A 19,296-nucleotide genomic window follows, 5' to 3' on the forward strand; every position below is an offset into this window, starting at 1 on the left:
TATCCTAATAGACAAGGCAGCATCGAGATATCCGGGACAATTAGAAATCCTGTGAGAGCTAAGATGTGCATTTGAAGAACCGTAACACTTAATCCTTCAGAGAAGAAGGGGTCCAATGTGGTTTGGAGCAACTAAAACATTTTTCAATATTTTCAAATCCCAAATCTGTAGAAATTGTTACTTAGTCATGAAAATGTTCTCATGTCTCCTTCTAAGTCATCCAAAGTCCAGATTGACTAAAAGTCATTCTATGAAGTGTTGCCTTCCCCCACACTGGTGTCCACGTATATCACCAAACAGATCATTCAGGGATTACTTTGGTCATCAACTCTGTGGGGTGGCTTGTGTCTCCTTCTCTGAGATGTTCTTTATGAAATAAAATGTAGACTTCTAACTTTGGAATAGGTAGGAGAGGATTTTTGTTTATTAAAGTTGATTTTATTAAGGATGCGAACTTAAAAAAATAGGCAAAGGGAGGCAGGGTGCGGTGGCTCACGCCTGTAATTCCAGCACTTTGGGAGGCCGAGGTGGGTGGATCACCTGTGGTCAGGAGTTCAAGACCAGCCGGACAACATGGCGAAACTCCATCTCTATTAAAAATACAAAAAGTAGCTGGGTGTGGTGGCACGCACCTGTAGTCCCAGCTACTTGGGAGGCTGATGTGGGAGAATCGCTTGAACCCAGGAGGCAGAGGTTGCAGTGAGCCGAGATGTGCCACTGTACTCCAGCCTGGGTGACAGAACGAGAGTCCCTCTCAAAAACAAAAAAAACAAAAACAGGCAAGGGGAAAGTGGAAATGAATACCATCAATTCTGCCCTAAAAAGAAAATGGCAGTAACATTTCATTTTGTATTGCAACATTTTCTATTTTACATCGGATCTAAATAAGCTGAACACTTAACTGTAAAACATGTCACCACATTCTAATCATGAGAAGCAAATTACTGAAAAAGTTTTTCTACATAGTGGAATATTTCTAGCAATTGTTACTTAGTCGTAAAAATATTCTCTTATCTTCTTTTATCTTTTAAGTCATCCAAAGGCCAGATGTTGAGAAATCAGGATGAAGGCCTTCCCTTTACTGCAAACAATTGGCAGCCTATAATAAGCTTAATTAAATAATTGCTTTGGACTGTCTTGGGTATAATTAATCATTTAGCTCTAAAGAATTGCTGGAAACAACAGTGGACACAAAATTGAAGCATTCAGGGTTTCTGAGATACATTTTGATGTTCTCACAGCCCTTACTGGCCCTGAGTTAGATAAGTGAATGTAATTTGTTTTAAGTTGAATGTCACAGATATTTAGTTGTAAACCTGAAGTTGGAAGACTCTCAGAGCATGGAATTTAAATCCAGTGGACTTTGCGTGTGGGGTTCTTTCTCCCTAGGTAGAGTAGGGGGAAAAGATGAGAAGAAAGTCTCCAATGTTTGGGAAAGATGAAGACCGTGGGTCCCTTCTCTAGAGCGACAGGAGGAGGCCGGCCCAGCCATCACCCCAGGCTCAGGCCAAGTTCTGGGGCAGAGAGAAGGGGGTTCTCAGGGTGGTCAGGGTCACCCCCCTGTGGCACTCTTCTAGGATCCAGGTTCTGGGCTGCGCTCCGTACACTGATCACTCTGCTGACCATGGCTGCAGCTCCCGCCATGACCCCACTGTCCAAGGTGCGCAGGTGGCAGAGCTGGGGACCCAGGCGGGACCTGTGTGCCCCGGGCTTGGGCCTCTCAACCCCACACTCGCCTGCTTCCCTTTGTGCAGTTTTGAGAGAGGGGCCCAGAACCAGCAGGAGCATGAAAAAAGCAGAATTAAAAATGAAAAGGACTAGAATTAGAATTAGAAAGAGAAAATGGAGCCGCTGCTTTGAAAACCAGCGGCCTTCCTTTAACATGTAAAATCCTGTTGTTTTTCCTTGACAGGAAACAAAGAGGAATCTATTAAAATTTTATTAGTTGATTATTTTAGCTTTCAAAGTGGACACTCAAGAGACCTATATTTCCTCAAGATAAGTTTTTGTCCTTCTGAAAATTAGTTTTTAATCTCCAAAGCCACGATGCAGCAGGCACCGGGGCCGCTTAATGTCTGATCCTGATTTTTTTGACTGCACCCGGCAAGCAGGACAGTGGCACATGGATTTTGACTGCCTGTAATAAGATGATGATTAGAAAACATGAATTATCCTGGCTAGCTCAGTGTCCAACTGCTAACTGAATTTCCTAGAAAAAGACTTTTGGTCTCAGTGTGGTGCTGTCAATCATGTGGTGGAAAAGCAGTTGGCTTGAAATTTAATTTCGGCTTTTTTTTTTTTTGGAGCAACTCCTGGGTAAAAGTAATATCTCACCCCATACATGTTTGATAAACAGTCGTGGCAGCAGTATTACTTAACACATACGCACCACAGGGCTTCAGTAATTTCCATGTGAACTACTCAGGTACAGTCAAAACAAATATTCTTTATCCTTTTACTATGCGCGAGACACTAGGCTAGACATACAAAGACCCCTTGCCCGTGGCTCCCATTTCAAATATATCTCATGACCAGGGTGTGGGAGCACGACAGAGGAGGTAAGAGTTTAAACTGTGATAAAACACATTAAGAATAGTTATTACCAAGGGCTGGGCATGGTGGCTCATGCCTGTAATCCTGGCATTTTGGGAGGCTGAGACTGGCAGATCACTTGAGGTCAGGAGTTCCAGTCCAGCCTGGGCAACATTGTGAAACCCCATTCCTACTGAAAATACAAAAATTAGCATGTGTGATAGTGCGTGCCTGTAATCCCATCTACTCGGGAGGCTGAGGTAGGAGAATCACTTGAACCTGGGAGGCGGAGGTTGCAGTGAGCCAAGATCGCACCACTGCACTTCAGCCTGGGTGACACAGTGAGTGAGACACCGTCTCAAAAAAAAAAAAAAAAGAAAAAGAAAAGTGTTATTACCAGCATTACCAGCACATCAATAATAATAATAGCAGCTATGATGTATGAAAAGATTCCCTGAGTCAGGCTCCTTTTTTAAATTTCAGTGTTATGGAAAAATAATTCACACAGCATTAAGTTCACTCCTTGAAAGCATGCAATCCAATGGTTTCTAGCTTATTCACTGAGTCATGCAAACATCACCACTATCTAATTGCAGACATTTTCATCATTCCCCCCAAAACTCTGGACCTATCAGCAGTCACTCTTGATCCTTCATGGCCCCCATGAGCCAGGCTCTCGAATGTATTACTTCCTTTTTTTTTTCTTTTCTTTTCTTTTTTTTTTTTTTGAAACGGAGTCTCGCTTTGTCACCAGGCTACAGTACAGTGGCGTGATCTCAGCTCACTGCAACCTCTGACTCCCTGGTTCAAGGGATTCTCCTGCCTCAGCCTCCTGAGTAGCTGGGATTACAGGCATGTGCCACCACACCCAGCTAGCTTTTGTATTTTTAGTAGAGATGGGGTTTCACCATGTTGGCCAGGAGGGTCTCGATTTCCTGACCCCGTGATCCGCCAGCCTCGGCCTCCCAAAGTGCTGGAATTACAGGCATGAGCCACTGTGCTCAGCCAGGAATATATTATTTTCTTTAATATTTACAGCAATCCTGTAAAGCAGATAACATGAGCCCATTTTACTAATGAGGAAAATAAAGATGAGAGTCCCCAGGTCACTGCAGGGGGTTGAATAGTGTCCCCCCCAGCCCCCAGAAAAGATATGTTTAAGTCCTAATCTCTGGACCTGTGAACGTGACCTTATTGCGAAAAGGGACTTTGCAAATGTAATTAGATTAAGGATCTCAAGATGAGATTGTCCTGGACTAGGGTGGGCCATAAATCTAACGACACATGTCCTTAGAAGAGACCGAAGAGGAGACACACAGACGTAGGGAAGAAGGCCAAGCAAAGATGCAAGCAGAAACGGGAGTGACATCTACAAGTCAAGGCATAGCAGGGATGGCCAGAAGCCACCCAAAGCGAGGAGGGAGATGTGGGAGGGATTCTTCCGTAGACTCTGCTGAAGAAACCAACCCTGCTGACCCCTTGATTTCAGACTTCTGGCCTGAAAAGCAGTGAGAGACTAAATTTCTGTTGTTTGAAGCCACCTAGTTTATGGCAGTTTGTGAAGGTAGCCCTATGAAACAGACACAGCCATACAGCCAATCAGCAGCAGAGCCAAGATGTCCCAGTTGGGACCTGGCTCCTGGGCCTGGTCACTTGCCCTCATCAGACTGGATGGTTAGCCTCCTCTTCAGGGTCACGCACAGCACTAATGCTGGGGATGACCTTCGAGGCTGATGAGTGACCTTCGAGGTCCAGGTTAGCCAACCCTTCCTTCAGGATCCCCAGCATCTAGGGCCCTTCTGCGGAATTCCTCGTGTGGTTTTGTGCAACCTGCTTCCTGTCACTAACAACATTTTATTAAATTGATATCTGGCTCCCTTTACACACCCAGGGAATAGTTTCCTTATTTTCGTTGTTTTTTTTAGAACCAGCATTGCAGTTTGCACGTGACCAGTAGGTGAGTAAGTGATCACTAAATATTTGCAGGACTATTGAACAAGCATAAGACTGAACTAGAGGCTTTGACAAGTAAGCCATGGAGAGCCAAGGTGGGCTGGAGTGCAATGGGTTGGCAGGATTTATGACATGATCTAGTAGTGTTTTTAAAACATGACCTTCTAGAATGTGCAACATGGCAATGAAAGGAGGGGTGGAGACAGAAGCACAGTGGGGGAGGCAATTTTCAAATCTAAGAGGGGGGTTGAACAAGGATGGTGATAGAAGAGAGGGATGAAGGAGACGCTATAGGGGAGAGCGTGCAGGGCCTGGGTGGATACAATAGGTTACAGAAATCTCCCTGGGGTCAGGCTTATAGACTCGAGGTGTTGTGGACCTTCTGGACAAGAGGTCAGGTGGAGAGCCAGTCTGGAGACCTACCCAGAGGAGTTTAGATTGAGACATCCTGAGTTTTGAGTGACAGTGGGGCCTGGGGAGAGCTGAGAGACTTGACCTTGGATCTCCTTCAGAGCAGATGCCACCTGGCAAAACCACCGTGGCTGGTGGCCAGTGGATCCCTGTGGCATGCACGTCAAAGCTTCTTGCTGACTCGTGCACATGTCCAACAATATCTGCAAACAGCTGAGGTGGGCCCCCAGGGATGGCTCTCACAGGAGTTTACCCGGATGTCCAAAGATCTCCATGGGAGGAAGCAGAAGGGAGAAGGGAAGCAGTGTGGAAACCTGGCTAGAGACACCTGGCCAGAGGTTGGAGGAGAGCCAGGTGGGCTAGTCAGACAGGTGCTGATGGAGCGAGCACCACAAGTGCAAAGGTGAAGGTCAAAGTGGCTTTACCGCCATTCCATGCCAATTTCCTCCTTCATATGTTCTACTGCACTTTAAATAGTTTTTAAAAAGTGGATTGGCCAAAATTAAGGTTTATGAACTGCCTGACCTTTGGGAGGGCACATCTATTCCTGCACTACTTACTGAGTACTTGTAACATGCCAGGGTCTAGGACACAGCCGTGTTGGGGCACCCAGTCCCTGCCTTCCTGGAACTCCCAGTGTAGCAGACAGGAAGGTGAAGGCAAGGCCACCTCCATGCACCTGACCTTCTGGGTGTTAGACCTATACGTTGCAGGCACCTCGTAGAATGAGGTATGGCAGTTACCAAGGCATGGGCAAGGAAGGATAGGGGCCTTAAGACAGGGACGTAAACACATATTTACAAAGCACCTGCTATGCTACCAGAACTACAATGTATGAGGAAATGCATGACAGCACATGGCTGAGCCAGATGGTGAGGAGATGGGGACACCAGGAGAGGCTTCTTGGAGGAGGAAGCAGTGTTTGACTTGGGCCTTGAGGGAAGAGTGGATCTTCCAAAGTCAAAAGGGAGGGCAGGGAGTAGTGTGTCCCAGGCAGAGGGGCAGCACCACGCATGTGGCGGCATGCTCTGGAAACAGCCAAAAAAACAGCATGGCGGGAATAGGGTGGTTTCCTCAGGAAGGGGATGGTGGGACTGAAAAAGAAGATTGGATCCAAATTATGCAAGAGGTTTACCAGAAAAAAAATTGAACGGGGGTCAGCCAGGCTTGGGTTTAAGATCTAGTTTTGCCCATTATCACTGAGAGGCCATGAGGAAGTCACTTTTGTGGTCTCTGCTTTTTACCTGTAAACCAAGGAGCATGAGACCTGCTCGTGGCTTGTGTGAGCTTCCCATGAGGACAAGGAAAGGTGAGGTGCCAATTCAGGAGAGGCCCCGGTCTGCAGCTGGGATGAGGAAGGGAAGTGAGCTGGGTCAGTACCTGGTGATATGGGGATGGGGCAAAGGGCTTTGAGAGGGTGGCGATTTCAAGGTGCAAACTGCATGACAGCAATGCTGGGGGTTGGGAAACGAACTCCAGGCCCCTGAGGATGCCATGCCTTAGTTGGCTGCTCAGGTGACAATAACATCTGCCCCATTCTCATGAAAACAGGAATCATAACAATGAAGAAAAATAAAGTATGACCTACTGCAACTATCATCAGCACCCCACAGAGTGGGTACGCATGTGAGTGTGTGGTGTACATGTGGGAATGTGTGCAAGTGGGCGCCTGTGCATGTCAGTGTGTGGTGCGCGTGTGGGAATGTGTGCAAGTGGGGGCCTGTGCATGTGAGTGTGTGGTGTGCATGTGGGAATGTGTGCAAGTGGGCGCCTGTGCGAGTGTGTGGTGTGTGTGTGGGAATGTGTGCAAGTGGGCGCCTGTGCGAGTGTGTGGTGCGTGTGTGGGAATGTGTGCAAGTGGGCGCCTGCCCATGTGAGTGTGTGGTGCGCGTGTCGGAATGTGTGCAAGTGGACGCCTGCGCATGTGAGTGTGTGGTGCGTGTGGGAATGTGTGCAAGTGGGCGCCTGTGCGAGTGTGTGGTGCGCGTGTGGGAATGTGTGCAAGTGGGCACCTGCCCATGGGAGTGTGTGGTGCGCGTGTGGGAATGTGTGCAAGTGGGAGCCTGCGCATGTGAGTGTGAGGACACCTCGTGCTCAGGTGTCACCAACCCCATTTAAAAAGGAAATAACTATGATGACAACCAGTCTCTAGTGTACGATCTGATCGAGATACCACTTCCTCATCTAGCAAGTGAGCTTGGCTCAGGTCTTTTAAAGCACAGGTAGGCCCTGAAGAAATTCAGCTTCAGTCGAACCTCTGTGCCTGCAGGTGATGAAGACTTGGGGCTCATTCCAATGCCAAGAGCCCATGAGACTCCTCCTGCCAGATACCTGAGTCAGAGCTGAGAGAGCGGGGCAAGAGAACCAGAAAAATTAGAGAGAGACAACCTTTTCCCTCCAGGAGCTCATGCTCCAGCCAGGAGCTGAAGCAGTGGGAACGTGGCATTTAGGAACAAACTCAGAAGACGGGTGCATGGCTGTTTTGATGCCCCAGCAGGAGCATGACAGGGCTGGACGTCTATCCCATTACAAAGTACAGTGGGTCGGTTCCTCTGGGCCAGGAGCTGGATTCTCTTCCCATCTCAGTGACAGTTTGATGTCTGTGCCCTGCAGAGTTGCAGATTATCTGAAGCTCATGGCTGTGCCTCCAGGCTCCCTGGCTGGCAGGAATGAGAGCACCAAGCCACCAGAGCAAATTGGGAACCAGAATGTAAAAAGGGGGAGGAGAATCACAAGCACTTCACCGAAACCGTATTAACTGGGAGTTGCGCATCGATGGGAGACATACGATACGGGACAAAATTAACGTATGGCCTCAACTTCACATTCGACTTGGAGTCATTTCAAAGTAAGAATAAACTCCATGGCTGAACTCCTTTTTACGACCCATTTTCCATGTTGTACTTCATTCCCTCCATTCAAGAGCCATCTCCTCTTTCATGTCCCTTTCTACTGAGATCTTTGTGCTGTTTTTGTCTCCGTGTGCTTTCCGCTTCAAGCTTCAAATGATGAAAAACAACTTGTTAATTCCCTCCTTCTTCTATGTTCTAGAACAGAGTTTTTTTCTTCCTGCTGATTTGTGATCCTGTGTTTTTGAAGCAATGTGGGATGTTCTTTCGCTGCAAAACTGGAATCTGTTGGGCTGTAATTAATGTGTCTTCTAGGACACCCCAGCTTCCCTCCAGGTTCCTAGATCTTAATATGTTTCTGGAGCACACCACATTTAACACAATTTTTAATCCCCATTTTCTTTCTTAACAGCTAGCAGGCTGGGGCTACTCTAGTTGCATTTTTTTTTTTCCTTTTACTTCCAGTCTCAATCAATTCTTCTGTCAGTGAGCAGTTGATCAGATACAGCTTCCCCTCACCCTGGTCTGATTCTTGACTTGAAAGATCATAAAGTTGACTGTACAGCTGCGGAATTTCTCTGTTGATGCACGGTCTGCTGCTTTTGTAACAACAGCACAAAGATCTGGGAAGTCAAAATTCTCAGAAGCGCCCACAGTGAGGAGTTCATTAGACCCACACAGCGTTCCTCATCACCATTCCCATTCCCTCTTGGTGGCTGACACCAGACAATGCAGCACTTACTCTTCTGACTTTTCCTGAAATCCCAGCTGCAAGGATTTCACAATATTCTTTTCTGCCAAATTTATGAGTCTGTGCCTGCTCCTGGGGATGCGGGGTGGATGTGGAGACTCAGACACTGCAGAGTCTGGCCAGCGAGGTCGTCACCACCATGCGGAAGGAACTGGCAACCCTGACAGTTGCCCTGCACCTTTGTGGGAGGCTGAAAGAGCTAAGGCAGCGTGCCTGGCACACGGTGACTACAGGGCTGGCCTGGGAAGAGGGATGGAGGGTTGTGACTGAGTGGCAAGGCCAAGCCCTATGGGAGGATTTGTCTTGCTTGGATATTACTCTAGGAATACCTTCCCCAGTTGTCACTCTAATGAGTTAATGTCACTAGTTTATAAGTTGTTTTATTAAGGTAAATAGGAGCTATTAGGAACTCCTTGTAGAGAATCCTTTTCTCTTTGCCCATCAAGAATCTGATAGCCCTATAAAGATAACCTGAAAATTATCCAGCCAATCCTGGATGTTTCCATTGATGGCTGATCTCAGTTTTGATAATTGGGAATTTCTTCATAATTGTTGCTGGAAGAGGCCTATTTGTTTCTGAGTGTCCCTGGCTCTCAGCTGTCTTCTTTTTTTTTTTTTTTTTTTTTTTTTTTTTGGCAAAAGCTCATTGCATTTCTTTGGTACATTCACCCCTTCCCTGCTCCCTGCCTCGGGGACCCTGGGTGCAGTTTTCCCTCAACCTGGTCCAGGATATAGGGCCATAACCTGTTTGATCAGACTACTAAGCTCCCCACTGACAACTCTGATTGTTTCACAGATGAGCCAGTGGCCTAGTCAGAGCCACTGGGATGTGTTTAGATGACCTCCACTGAGCTTGGGAGAGAGGCCCTTATTCTTCTTCTTGCTTTTTGAGCATGGAAGCCTCATGCTGCCAACAAAACAAAACAACAACTGCCTATTATGGACTGAGTGTTTATATACCCTGCAAATTCATATGTTAGAGCCATGGCCCCCATGTGATGGTATCGGGAGATGGGGCCTTTGGGAGCTGATCAGGCTTAGATGAGATCATGAGGGAAGCCCCATGATGGGATTCGTGCCCTTATAAGGGACACCAGAGCTTCCTCCCTCTGTACACGCACAAAGAGAGGTCACGTGAGCACACAGCAAGCTAATGACTGCCTGGAAGCCAAGAGAAAAGGCCTCAGGAGGAAAAATCAATCTTGTCAGCTCATTGATCTTGGACTTTCCAGGCTCAAGAACTGTGAGAAATAAAATTCTATGGTTTAAGCCAACCAGTCTATGGTATTTTGCTATGGCAGCCCATGCTAAGATAGTGCCTGAGAATGAAAGTAACACAGAAGAAGGTAGAGGCTTGAGATAGAAAATAGACCGTGATAATATTAGCTAGGACCCTGTATCCAGCCATGCCTAGATTTTTCAGTAGCATAAGCCTATCTCCACATTATTTTGTTTTTCTTTAAGTCAGTTTGAATTCGTGTTTTTTTTTTTTTTTTAGTTGGAGTCTTACTCTGTCACCAGGTTGGAGTGCAGTGGTACAATCTCGGCTCACTGCAACCCCCGCCTCCCGGGTTCAAGCAGTTTTCTGCCTCAGCCTCCCAAGTAGCTGGGACTACAGGAGCATGCCACCACGCCCAGCTAATTTTCGTATTTTTAGTAGAGATGGGTTTTCACCATGTTGGCCAGAATGGTCTCGATCTCTTGACCTTGTGATCCACCCGCCTCGGCCTCCCAAAGTGCTAGGATTACAGGCGTGAGCCACCGCGCCCCCGGGCAGCTTTTCTCTTCTTTACACACAATGACCTTAATGCCAAATTGAAGGCTGAAAATATCCAGCCTTCAACACATGACCTTTGAAGAAAGAGGTCCACCTTTCAGGCCCCAGAGAGGCACAATAGTAAAGTGTGGATTTCCCTTTCCAAGTGTGTGTGGTCCTTACTACCATGGCCTTGTGTATCTCTGCCCTGGTCTCTACAGGAGCTGCAAAGCTTTGCAAGGAATTATCCCAGGAGTGCTGCATGAACACCCCCCCCCCCTCAACTAGTCCAGTCCCAGAATCAAAGAACAAAGACTGTCTCATGATGCTCACTAGAGGTGGGCACAGGGCTTGGCTTTCCTAGAGGTCACTGCATTTGTTTACTGTTTCTCCCCTGGCACCCATCACAGGGGAGAAACAAACTCAAACTTTGTTTGAACATGCAAACTTCCCACCATGCAAACTGGGGCTCAGAGAGGCCCAGTGACCTGTCCATCGTCACACAGCTAATTCACCACCCTGACTATCATGTTCTAGGGTGAGAACATCTACCTGGGGTCCCAGAGTATCCATTTTGAATTGGTCACTCACCTTCACCTCAGATGCCACCAGGTCTGATCCCATTTCACCCCCTCATCTCTGTCTCCTCCAGGAATTCAAGCACTGGTTTTCCATGAAAACTGGCCCCTTATCCCCCACAAGTCTTTAATCCTCTACTGACCCTATCCCCACTCCCTTTTCCCTAACCCTTTCCACTGTGCTCTTGGGGCTCATGGTCCATCCTCAAATCCTATCCTGATCCAAATCTCTTCCAGAATATTCCTCTTACCTCCTTCCCCTAGCTGAATCCTGGCTGATTCCACTGATATCACCTCCCCTGCAGCCTCTCAGGATGATACTTCATTACTTAAAATTTCTCCCTCATGTACCTCAGCTCCTTGGTGGTGAACAGTTGTCATCTTTGCTCTAAATTGTCACTTCCAAACTCTCCTTCTTCACCTTCTCCTGAGCGCCCACTCTGCATGCTGGGCGTGTACGCGTATTGGAGTCCCTGCCTGGTAGTGGATTTTGCTGCATCTTCAGTAGGTCCTTTCATGTGCTCACACCCCACGCTTCCTCAGGAAAGTGACTTTAAGACACAGATCACTAACAAAATTTAGAGTCGCCAGCCTCTCTAATACCCGTGGAAAGGTCTCTCGACTCTCACAAAAGTTGCCACCTTTGACCAGGCCTGCCCCACCACCTCTTACCAGAGTTACTCTGAAGACACCTACCCAAGCCTCCGCTTCTGTGCACATTCCCTACAGTCTATTTCCAGCCTGGCAGCTGGAGTGCCCCTGTAAAAATGTGAAGTCAGACCACATCACTTCAGCTCCAAGCTCCCTGGCACCCATCACTGGGGGGGAGGCCAAAGGACATCTGATCACCTTCGTGACCCCTGGTGATCCTACCTTTCCACTTCCCTTCTGACCTCATTTCTCTCTACTGCCTCCCTGTCCCTGTCCACTCTAGTTATGCTGGCCACCTCGCTGCTCTGGGAATATCCCAGGCATCTTTCTGCTTCAGGAGCTTTGCACATGCTCTTCTCTCTGATATGCTACCTACCTCATCTAAAGGGCTCACCTCACCTCCTTCCGAACCTCCCTGACTACCTGTTGCCTTTCCTGTCCTCCATCTCAGCTTTGTCTTTCTCCATGATCCTTGACATCATGTATCTTACTCTATGTCCATTGTCTGTTCCTTCCACTAGGAAGTGCTCCAGGAAGAATGCATTTTGTTCAGTGCCGTGCCCCCAGAACCTAGAACAGAACTGGCAATGAGGAAGCACTCAAGGAATGTTTTCTGAACGAATGAATAACTGAAGAGAAGCAAATTCAAACCACAAGGCACCTCCTTCACTTTTCAGAGTAGCAGACATCTTAAAGTTCAATTGTGTTGCATAAATAGGACATAAAAATGCTTTTAAAAAAATGCAGGTATGCAGAAATGTGTGTGTGCATGCAAATGTGTGTGTTCACTCAATGATTTGGGTCTGTGTCTGCTAACTTGGAGAGACAGACAGGGTTGGGTGACAAAAGAAAGCCGTAGAATGATGTATATGATGTGACTCTATGTTTGTAAAAATAAACAAATACACACCCCAATCTCTGACTATGTGTTTACATGCACAAGGGATGAGAAAGCTGGGAGGGGAATTCCCAGCTTGCATTTTTATCTGAGTGGGACTGGAACGGGATGAACGAGGAAGAGGAATAGCTTTGTGTACTTATTTTTAGTTACATGAAAGGACCAACGCTGGTAAATACTTAGAGATAAATCAGATGTATTGAGCAATGGGGAACATGTGAGCAAATAGAACTCTCATTCTCTGCTGGCTGGAGTAGAAGTGAGGGCAGCAAAGAATAAACTGGTAGGTGTGTGGTTGTTGTGTGTGTCACATGCATATTCTCATCCTCCATGATCCCACACAGAACCTGCAAAGACGTCACAGGAACTGCTGATGCGCAGAATGTGATTCTGCTTTTTAACTCAAGCAGGTATATCCTTCCAGGGCCTTCTCTCTCTTCCCTCCCATGGAATCATGCTTTGGTGCCTTGGGCCAAAGTTACCCAGGACTCTGAGGTTACAAACATTTAGTTCACAAATTCGATAAGCAAATCCAGTAAAAAGGCTGAAACAGCTGGAAATTTATCAAACAAAATGATTTTCCTGGGGAGCACATAAGGGCCACCTGATGGCCAATAACTGTGATGTGGAAGGAAGCGGGCTGTGAGTAACACCTGGGGTTGACTTGTCTAGCATGGGAAGGTAATTGTTTCCTGCATCATGCCCGTAGCATAGTAGCAAACCCCCTACCAATCCATGCCTCTATTCAACTCACCTTGGTTGTTGCTAAATTAGTTTCCTTACTTTGTTTCCTAATGAGAGGAGGCCCTTTAAGATTTACATTAAGCCAGCAGCTTCAACATTGGTATGTAATGTTCTATCTTTTAGCACTGGGAATTATAAAGCATCAGAGCCACATAAATGGAAAATAATTCACAAAATGCTTGGATGTAGAAACTCAACCAGTTCAGTCGCTTTTACCCCACCAGGCCTGAGGATGGCACTGTAAGAGGGGGCATGAACATGAGGCTAAGATCCTGGGTGGCCATGCTCTTGTAAGCAGTGGAGAGAGGGCCTCCGTGTTCTCTTGCCTAGGTGGAGGTGTAGCTGAGCTGGGAGCCCCCATCACTCACTCTCAGTGCTTTAGCACGAGCAGGAAAAGACAGAGGTTGCCTGCAGTAGATGGCTGAAGACTAGAGCCGCCATGGTCATGGCCACTTACCTGAGACCAGAACACGTGCTGAGACTGACTGCTGAATCAGAATATCCCCGTACATGTCCATGGTAGTAACAGTGACCCTAAAGGGGAGGAGGAGAGAATCCCATTTCAGTTATAACACATTTTTGCCCACTTATAATAAATCAACTGCCTCTTGTTTTTAACTATAGAATTTTCCATTGCATAAAATATTGTTCTACAGTCTTAATATTTAATGCAAAGCCCAACATGACCCAGCCAGGGTCTATGTCGGGAATATCTGATTTACTTACAGATTACCAACAGCGGTTTTTAAATGAACCCTAGTTTCACTCTTGTCTCTCTGGCACCCTACAGGAAAGCCCTGATACAGAACGTTTTACAAAATCCAGCAGCAAAACAAATCACATTGACATCGCCATTTTACCCTCATGTAAATTGTCTTTTGTAATGAGATGAAGAACTGTAGGGGGTATTTAAGCACACTGTGAAATGTAATAAAACAAGGCCTAAATCTGTGGCTTATGAAAACGGGAAAGCAGATGAGAGGAAGTGGGGGTGAAGAAGGAAGGAGGGGACCTCACTGAATTACCCAATTGAGAGCTGAAAGTCTATCTCGGCAGGAAAGAAAAATAGGAAGGTCTTCTAAGTCTAAGACAAAAGTTCCCGTGTGTCATGCCTGCAATATTCTATTCTTTGATAATGTCACAGCTTACAAAAAGAAACCACAGCACAGACACTTCCTTAGTGAAGACAGATATCAGTCCGGAATCAAGGTTAATTTTATCATCGAGCAAAGGTTATGCTGCAGCCCCAATTAAGTGGCAGACTGGCAAGAAGTGGCTGAGTATACTCAGTACTCCTCACTCAGATCCTCTGGACGCCAGCTGGGTGCAGGTCTCTGCAGAGAAAGGTACATGCATCTTCTCAGGGTTTCCTCTGAGAAGCTCCTCTTTTGAGCAGCTCAGGTGTTAGTCTGTCTCCACTGCACCCTCCTTAGCACACAGCTCCTTCACACACGACAACAGTCATGCACTTTGTCCAGCGCAGAGCTTGGTGTCCAGTCATTCTGCCCAACAAAACCCACCTTGACTTTGCTAAGAAAAAGCACCAGATGCAATTGAGTCATGAAGAAAACCAGACACCACCATGGGAAAGGGGCTAAGATGATCTCTTGGTCTCAACGTAGATGACAAAATTCTCAGATCATCTAAAAGGCGATGAAAGGAGGGTGATAGGGTTAAGGGGTTGCAGGGACATTTATTATTCTGTTGAGCTTTTTCATATTAATTTTAGAAGTTCTTTATATACTCAGGATATTAATACTCTGCCTGTTATTACATGGGAAATGTCTTTTAACTTTGCTTATGGTATTTTTTGTTCAGAGTTTCCAGTGTATATCAATCTAAATGCATTTGTCGCTCTCTTCATGCATTTTTTGCATAGCTCAAGGTGGCTGTTTTCAGGGTCACAAATATGTTCTTCTTTATTTTCTTCTATCTTTATAGTCTGACAATTAGCTCTTTAATCCATCTGGAATTAATTTTTGTGGGACTGTGAGGTTCAATGCTAACTTTCCCCTAAAAATGAGAGCCAGCTGTGCTTTGCTGCCATTTTTCCTTTTCTCACTGATGTGACATGCTACCTTGGCATATATCAAAGGCCCACAGTATGTTTGTGGTGCCACTTTTGTACTCTCTGTGCTAGCCCACTGAGACAGACATCCATTTGTCTGTTTCTGTGCCAATTCCACACTGTTCCAATGACTATTGCTCTATACTCTATTTTGATATCAGGTAGAGTTAAGTTGTCCTTTAAAATTAAGATTAAATTCACTTGCCATAAAACTCACCTTTTAAAAGCATATATAATCAGTGGGTTTTGTTGTATATTCACAATATTATATACTCATCACCACTAATTGATTCTAAAACATTTCTGTCACCTCAGAAAGAAATCTCATATTCATTAGCAGTCACTTTCCATTCCCTGCTCCTCCATCTCTGGCAACCATTAACCTGCTTTCTATCTCTATGGATTTGCCCGTTCTGTTATTTTATAGAAATGGAATCATACAATAAGTGCCTTTTGTGACTGGCTTCTTTCACTTAAGCATGGTGTTCTCAAGTTCATTCATACTGAGGCATGCATTAGAATGTCATTCCTTTTCTACAGCTGAATCACCTTCTGCCTTGTGGATGAAAACATATTTTGCTTATCCAAGTGTTGAGCACATGAGTTGTTTCTACTTTTTGACTATTATGAGTAACGTTACTATGAACACATGTGTACACATTTTTGTAAGGATGTGTTTCCAGTTCTCTTGGATATGCACTATGAGTAGACACGTGGGTCTAAAAGTAAGGTTGCTGGTTATATGGAAACTCAATGTTTAACTTTTTAAAGTACTGCCAAACTGTTTTGCCAAGCAGCTGAACCATTTTACATTCCTGTGAGCATTACACGAGGGCTCTAATTTCCCCACATATTCACCAACACTTGTTATTGTTTATCTTTTCAATTATAGCCATCCTAGTGGATATAAAGTGGTATTTCAATGTGGTTTTGGTTTTAATTTTCTTAATCACTAATGATGTTGGGGATCTTTTCATGTGTTTATTGTCCATTTTTATGTCTTCTTTGAAGAAATGTCTACTCAAATCCTTGCTTATTTGTAAATTGGATTTTGGTGTTTTTATTGTTGAGTTAGAAGAGTTCTTCACATATTTTCAGCACTAGACCCTTATTAGATATATGATTTACAGATTTTTTTCCCATTTTATGGGTTGTCCTTTTACTTTCTTAATTTTTATTTTATTTATTTATTTTTTTTGAGACAGAGCCTCGCTCTGTCACCTAGGCTGGAGTGCAGTGGCACGATCTCGGCTCATTGCAACCTCTGCTTCCCGGGTTCAAGTGATTCTCCTGCCTCAGCCACTGGAGTAACTGGGATTACAGGCACATGCCATCACACCCAGCTAATTTTTGTATTTTTTTGTAGTGATGGAATTTCACCATATTGGCCAGGCTGGTCTTGAACTACTGACCTCAAGCAATCTGCCTGCCTTGGCCTCCCAAAGTGCTGGGATTACAGGCGTGAGCCATCAGAACTGGCCCCTTTTACTTTCTTGATTGTATCTTTTGAAGCTCAAAATTTTGATGAGGTCTTGTCTATTTTTTTCTTTGGCTACTTACACTTCTGGTACCATGTCTAAGAAACCATTACCTAACCTAAGGTCATAAAGATCTACACATATCTTTTTCTTTTTAAGAGTTGTATGGGTTTAGCTATTATATTTACATCTTTAGCCATCTTGAATTAATTTTTGTATGTAGCTTGAAGTACAAGTCCAACTTCATTCTTCGGCATGTGGACAGCTAGTTGTTCCAGAACCATTTGTTGAAACACCTACTCTTTTTTCTATTGAATTGTCTTGGTGACTTTCTCCAAATCATTTTCTTTTGGTACCATTCTTTTCTCAAAGGTTTCTAGGTTATCATTCCCTATTTTCTCTTCAGATGAATTACAGAATCCAATTTTAAGCTACACAATAACCCATTGAGATCTCAGTTTGTATTACACTGAAGTACAGGTCAGTTTGGGAAGAACTTATATTTTCATAATAAACCGCTTGCCTATTCATGTACATGGCAGGCCTCTTCTTTTAATACGGTCATTTTTATGTCCTTTAGTCTAGTTTTAGATTTTTTTTTCCACGTGGCTGTTGGAAAATTTTTGTTAAGCTTATGTATAGGTATTGTGTAGATTTGTTGATATCATAAATAAGATCTCTTTTTTCCTATTTTGTCTTACATATATTTATTTTTAATGTAAAGGGAAGCTTTTGATTTTGTAAGTTGGTCTTATATTGGGCACTTTTGCCACACCATCTTATCAGTTTATCAGTTTGTAGCGTATCTTTTTTCTATGTTGCTGATTATATCAATTGCAAACAATGAAAGTGCCGTGTGCTCCTTTTTGGATCCTTCATACAACACTGAAGAGTGAAATGGCTAGGTATGCAGGGGCCATGGCAGGAGAGGACTTACCTACAGAGGGAAAGCATGTGCAAAGATAGTGGGCGCTGGGGGTGGGGAGTGGCATCCAGGGGTGGGGTTAGTTCTGCTGGGCTGGAAGGTTCAGATGCAGGAGTGTAGCTCTCACAGTGCCCTGTTCCTCCCCCAGAGAAGCTGCCATCTTCAATAAGCACGTGGCTTAGGAAAGGATGCATCAGGCTTCCATCCAGGCCATCTGGGAGGGCAAACCTCGCTGCCAGGTCACCTCCTTAGCTTTTGTGTGACATATATTTTGAATGGCTTCAGTGTCCTCTCACTCTAGATTAACTCTTAGTTGGGTATGTAGGGGAAGCATGATAATTCTCTGACTATGAGGGGGTTATATAATTGGATCATAATGCTCTGGGGCATCAGGGGGATCCTAGTACCTTCCCAGGCCGGGCTTCCCTGGTAGGGATTTTAGCCCTGGGCACACGGCAGGCATCAAAGCGGAAGACAATGCAGAGAGTGAAAGGTTGGCAGCTGCTGTTAGGATTTTGGCTGCTTAAGGTAACCAGAATCACTGGGTTTTGACTGTCACAGATCTTTGGGGTCACATATGGTTACAGAATTTCCCCCATTTTAGAGGAATGTGAAATGCTGCTCTAAGTAGCTAAATACTGTTTAAAAAACTGAAAACCAAATGGTGACAATAATTTTAATTACTGACCTCTGAAATTTCAAGCTCATTTATACTCAATCTCAATTTGTTTTTAATAGATTATTTATTAAATGTACTTTCAAATTAAATACACAGAAATATAAGCTCGTTAGAGCATGAGCTTAGAACAAACTAGTATCAAATTAATTTCCAGTTCAACAACTCACTTGAAGTATTGCTTATGAGGGAGGAGGGGGGTGGATTTCAGCTCTCATAAACTGTTGCTTAAAGTAAACAATCTCACTTCTCTCAGTCATTAGTAGAGTTAACAACTGATTTCCAGCTTTAACACCACTTTTGTATCACCTTCAGACAGTTGACTAACAAGTCCGTTGTTCATTCCTGACAGTGATTAACTTCTTAGATTACTGACCATAATTATGAGAACTCCAAATTCTAGATTTTCCAAGGCAATGACAATTTCGTGAAATTTAATTTTTTTCAATATGTCTCATTAAGTGTTTAAACAAATGTGATTGAGTTTTTATAACATAAGTCAAAACACAGATAATTTCGCAACTCAGCAAGACATGGTTGTCACACCATGCATCACGTGGTTGGTTGGGAAATTTGATTATGGGGAGTGGAGGAGATGCAGTCTTCAACCCCTGGGGGTGGGGGGTGACCCTCTTAGCCAGTGACAAAGGCAGAGAGAGAGGAGCACAGGCTACATCACCGCTAGTGGCCAGCAGTGGCCAGTCAAGACAATCTCCAGGTGAGCCTGTGCCCTGCCCAAGGGTGCACCTCTGCACGCACTGATGCTAAGAGGCAGGCACCAACTAGGCCTTGTGGGTTCACAAACACTTGGTTTTTGGGTCTGAATATCCACACCAGAAAGAGACCCAGCAGGGAGCCATCATGCCTAAGAGGGGCTTGCACCCCAGGGCCCCCTGACCTGTTGATCACTGCATGGCCCTTACCAGCCAGCCAGCTGTGGCCACAACCCTCTGCAGACCTTCCAACACTGCATTCCTGTTCCTCTCTCTGATTGCCTCAAGGGCGCTAAACTGTATAGCCTCTTTC

General features: G+C 45.1%; 1 protein-coding gene across 5 annotated transcripts in view, besides 1 other annotated feature; it reads right to left on the bottom strand.

The window, feature by feature from the left end:
• ADAM12 (ADAM metallopeptidase domain 12) overlaps positions 1-19,296 on the bottom strand; it is a 376,087-nt gene that overhangs the window by 109,613 nt on the left and 247,178 nt on the right. For all 5 annotated transcript variants that reach the window (NM_001288973.2, NM_003474.6, NM_001288975.2 and 2 more), the window contains exon 5: positions 13,581-13,657. In NM_001288973.2, coding sequence (NP_001275902.1) covers positions 13,581-13,657 — 77 coding nt within the window. The remainder of the gene's footprint in view (positions 1-13,580; positions 13,658-19,296) is intronic.
• Positions 13,175-14,374: an enhancer, noted in NCBI's record as "CDK7 strongly-dependent group 2 enhancer chr10:127823747-127824946 (GRCh37/hg19 assembly coordinates)". NCBI's record gives its function as "activates an origin of replication core promoter dependent on BRD2, BRD4, P300/CBP, MED14 and CDK7 cofactors, with strong dependence on CDK7, by STARR-seq in HCT116 cells {active_cell/tissue: HCT116}" and the evidence as "EXISTENCE:reporter gene assay evidence [ECO:0000049][PMID:35650434]".

Source organism: Homo sapiens, chromosome 10, assembly GCF_000001405.40.
Source record: "Homo sapiens chromosome 10, GRCh38.p14 Primary Assembly".
In the NCBI taxonomy this organism is placed as follows: domain Eukaryota; kingdom Metazoa; phylum Chordata; class Mammalia; order Primates; family Hominidae; genus Homo; species Homo sapiens.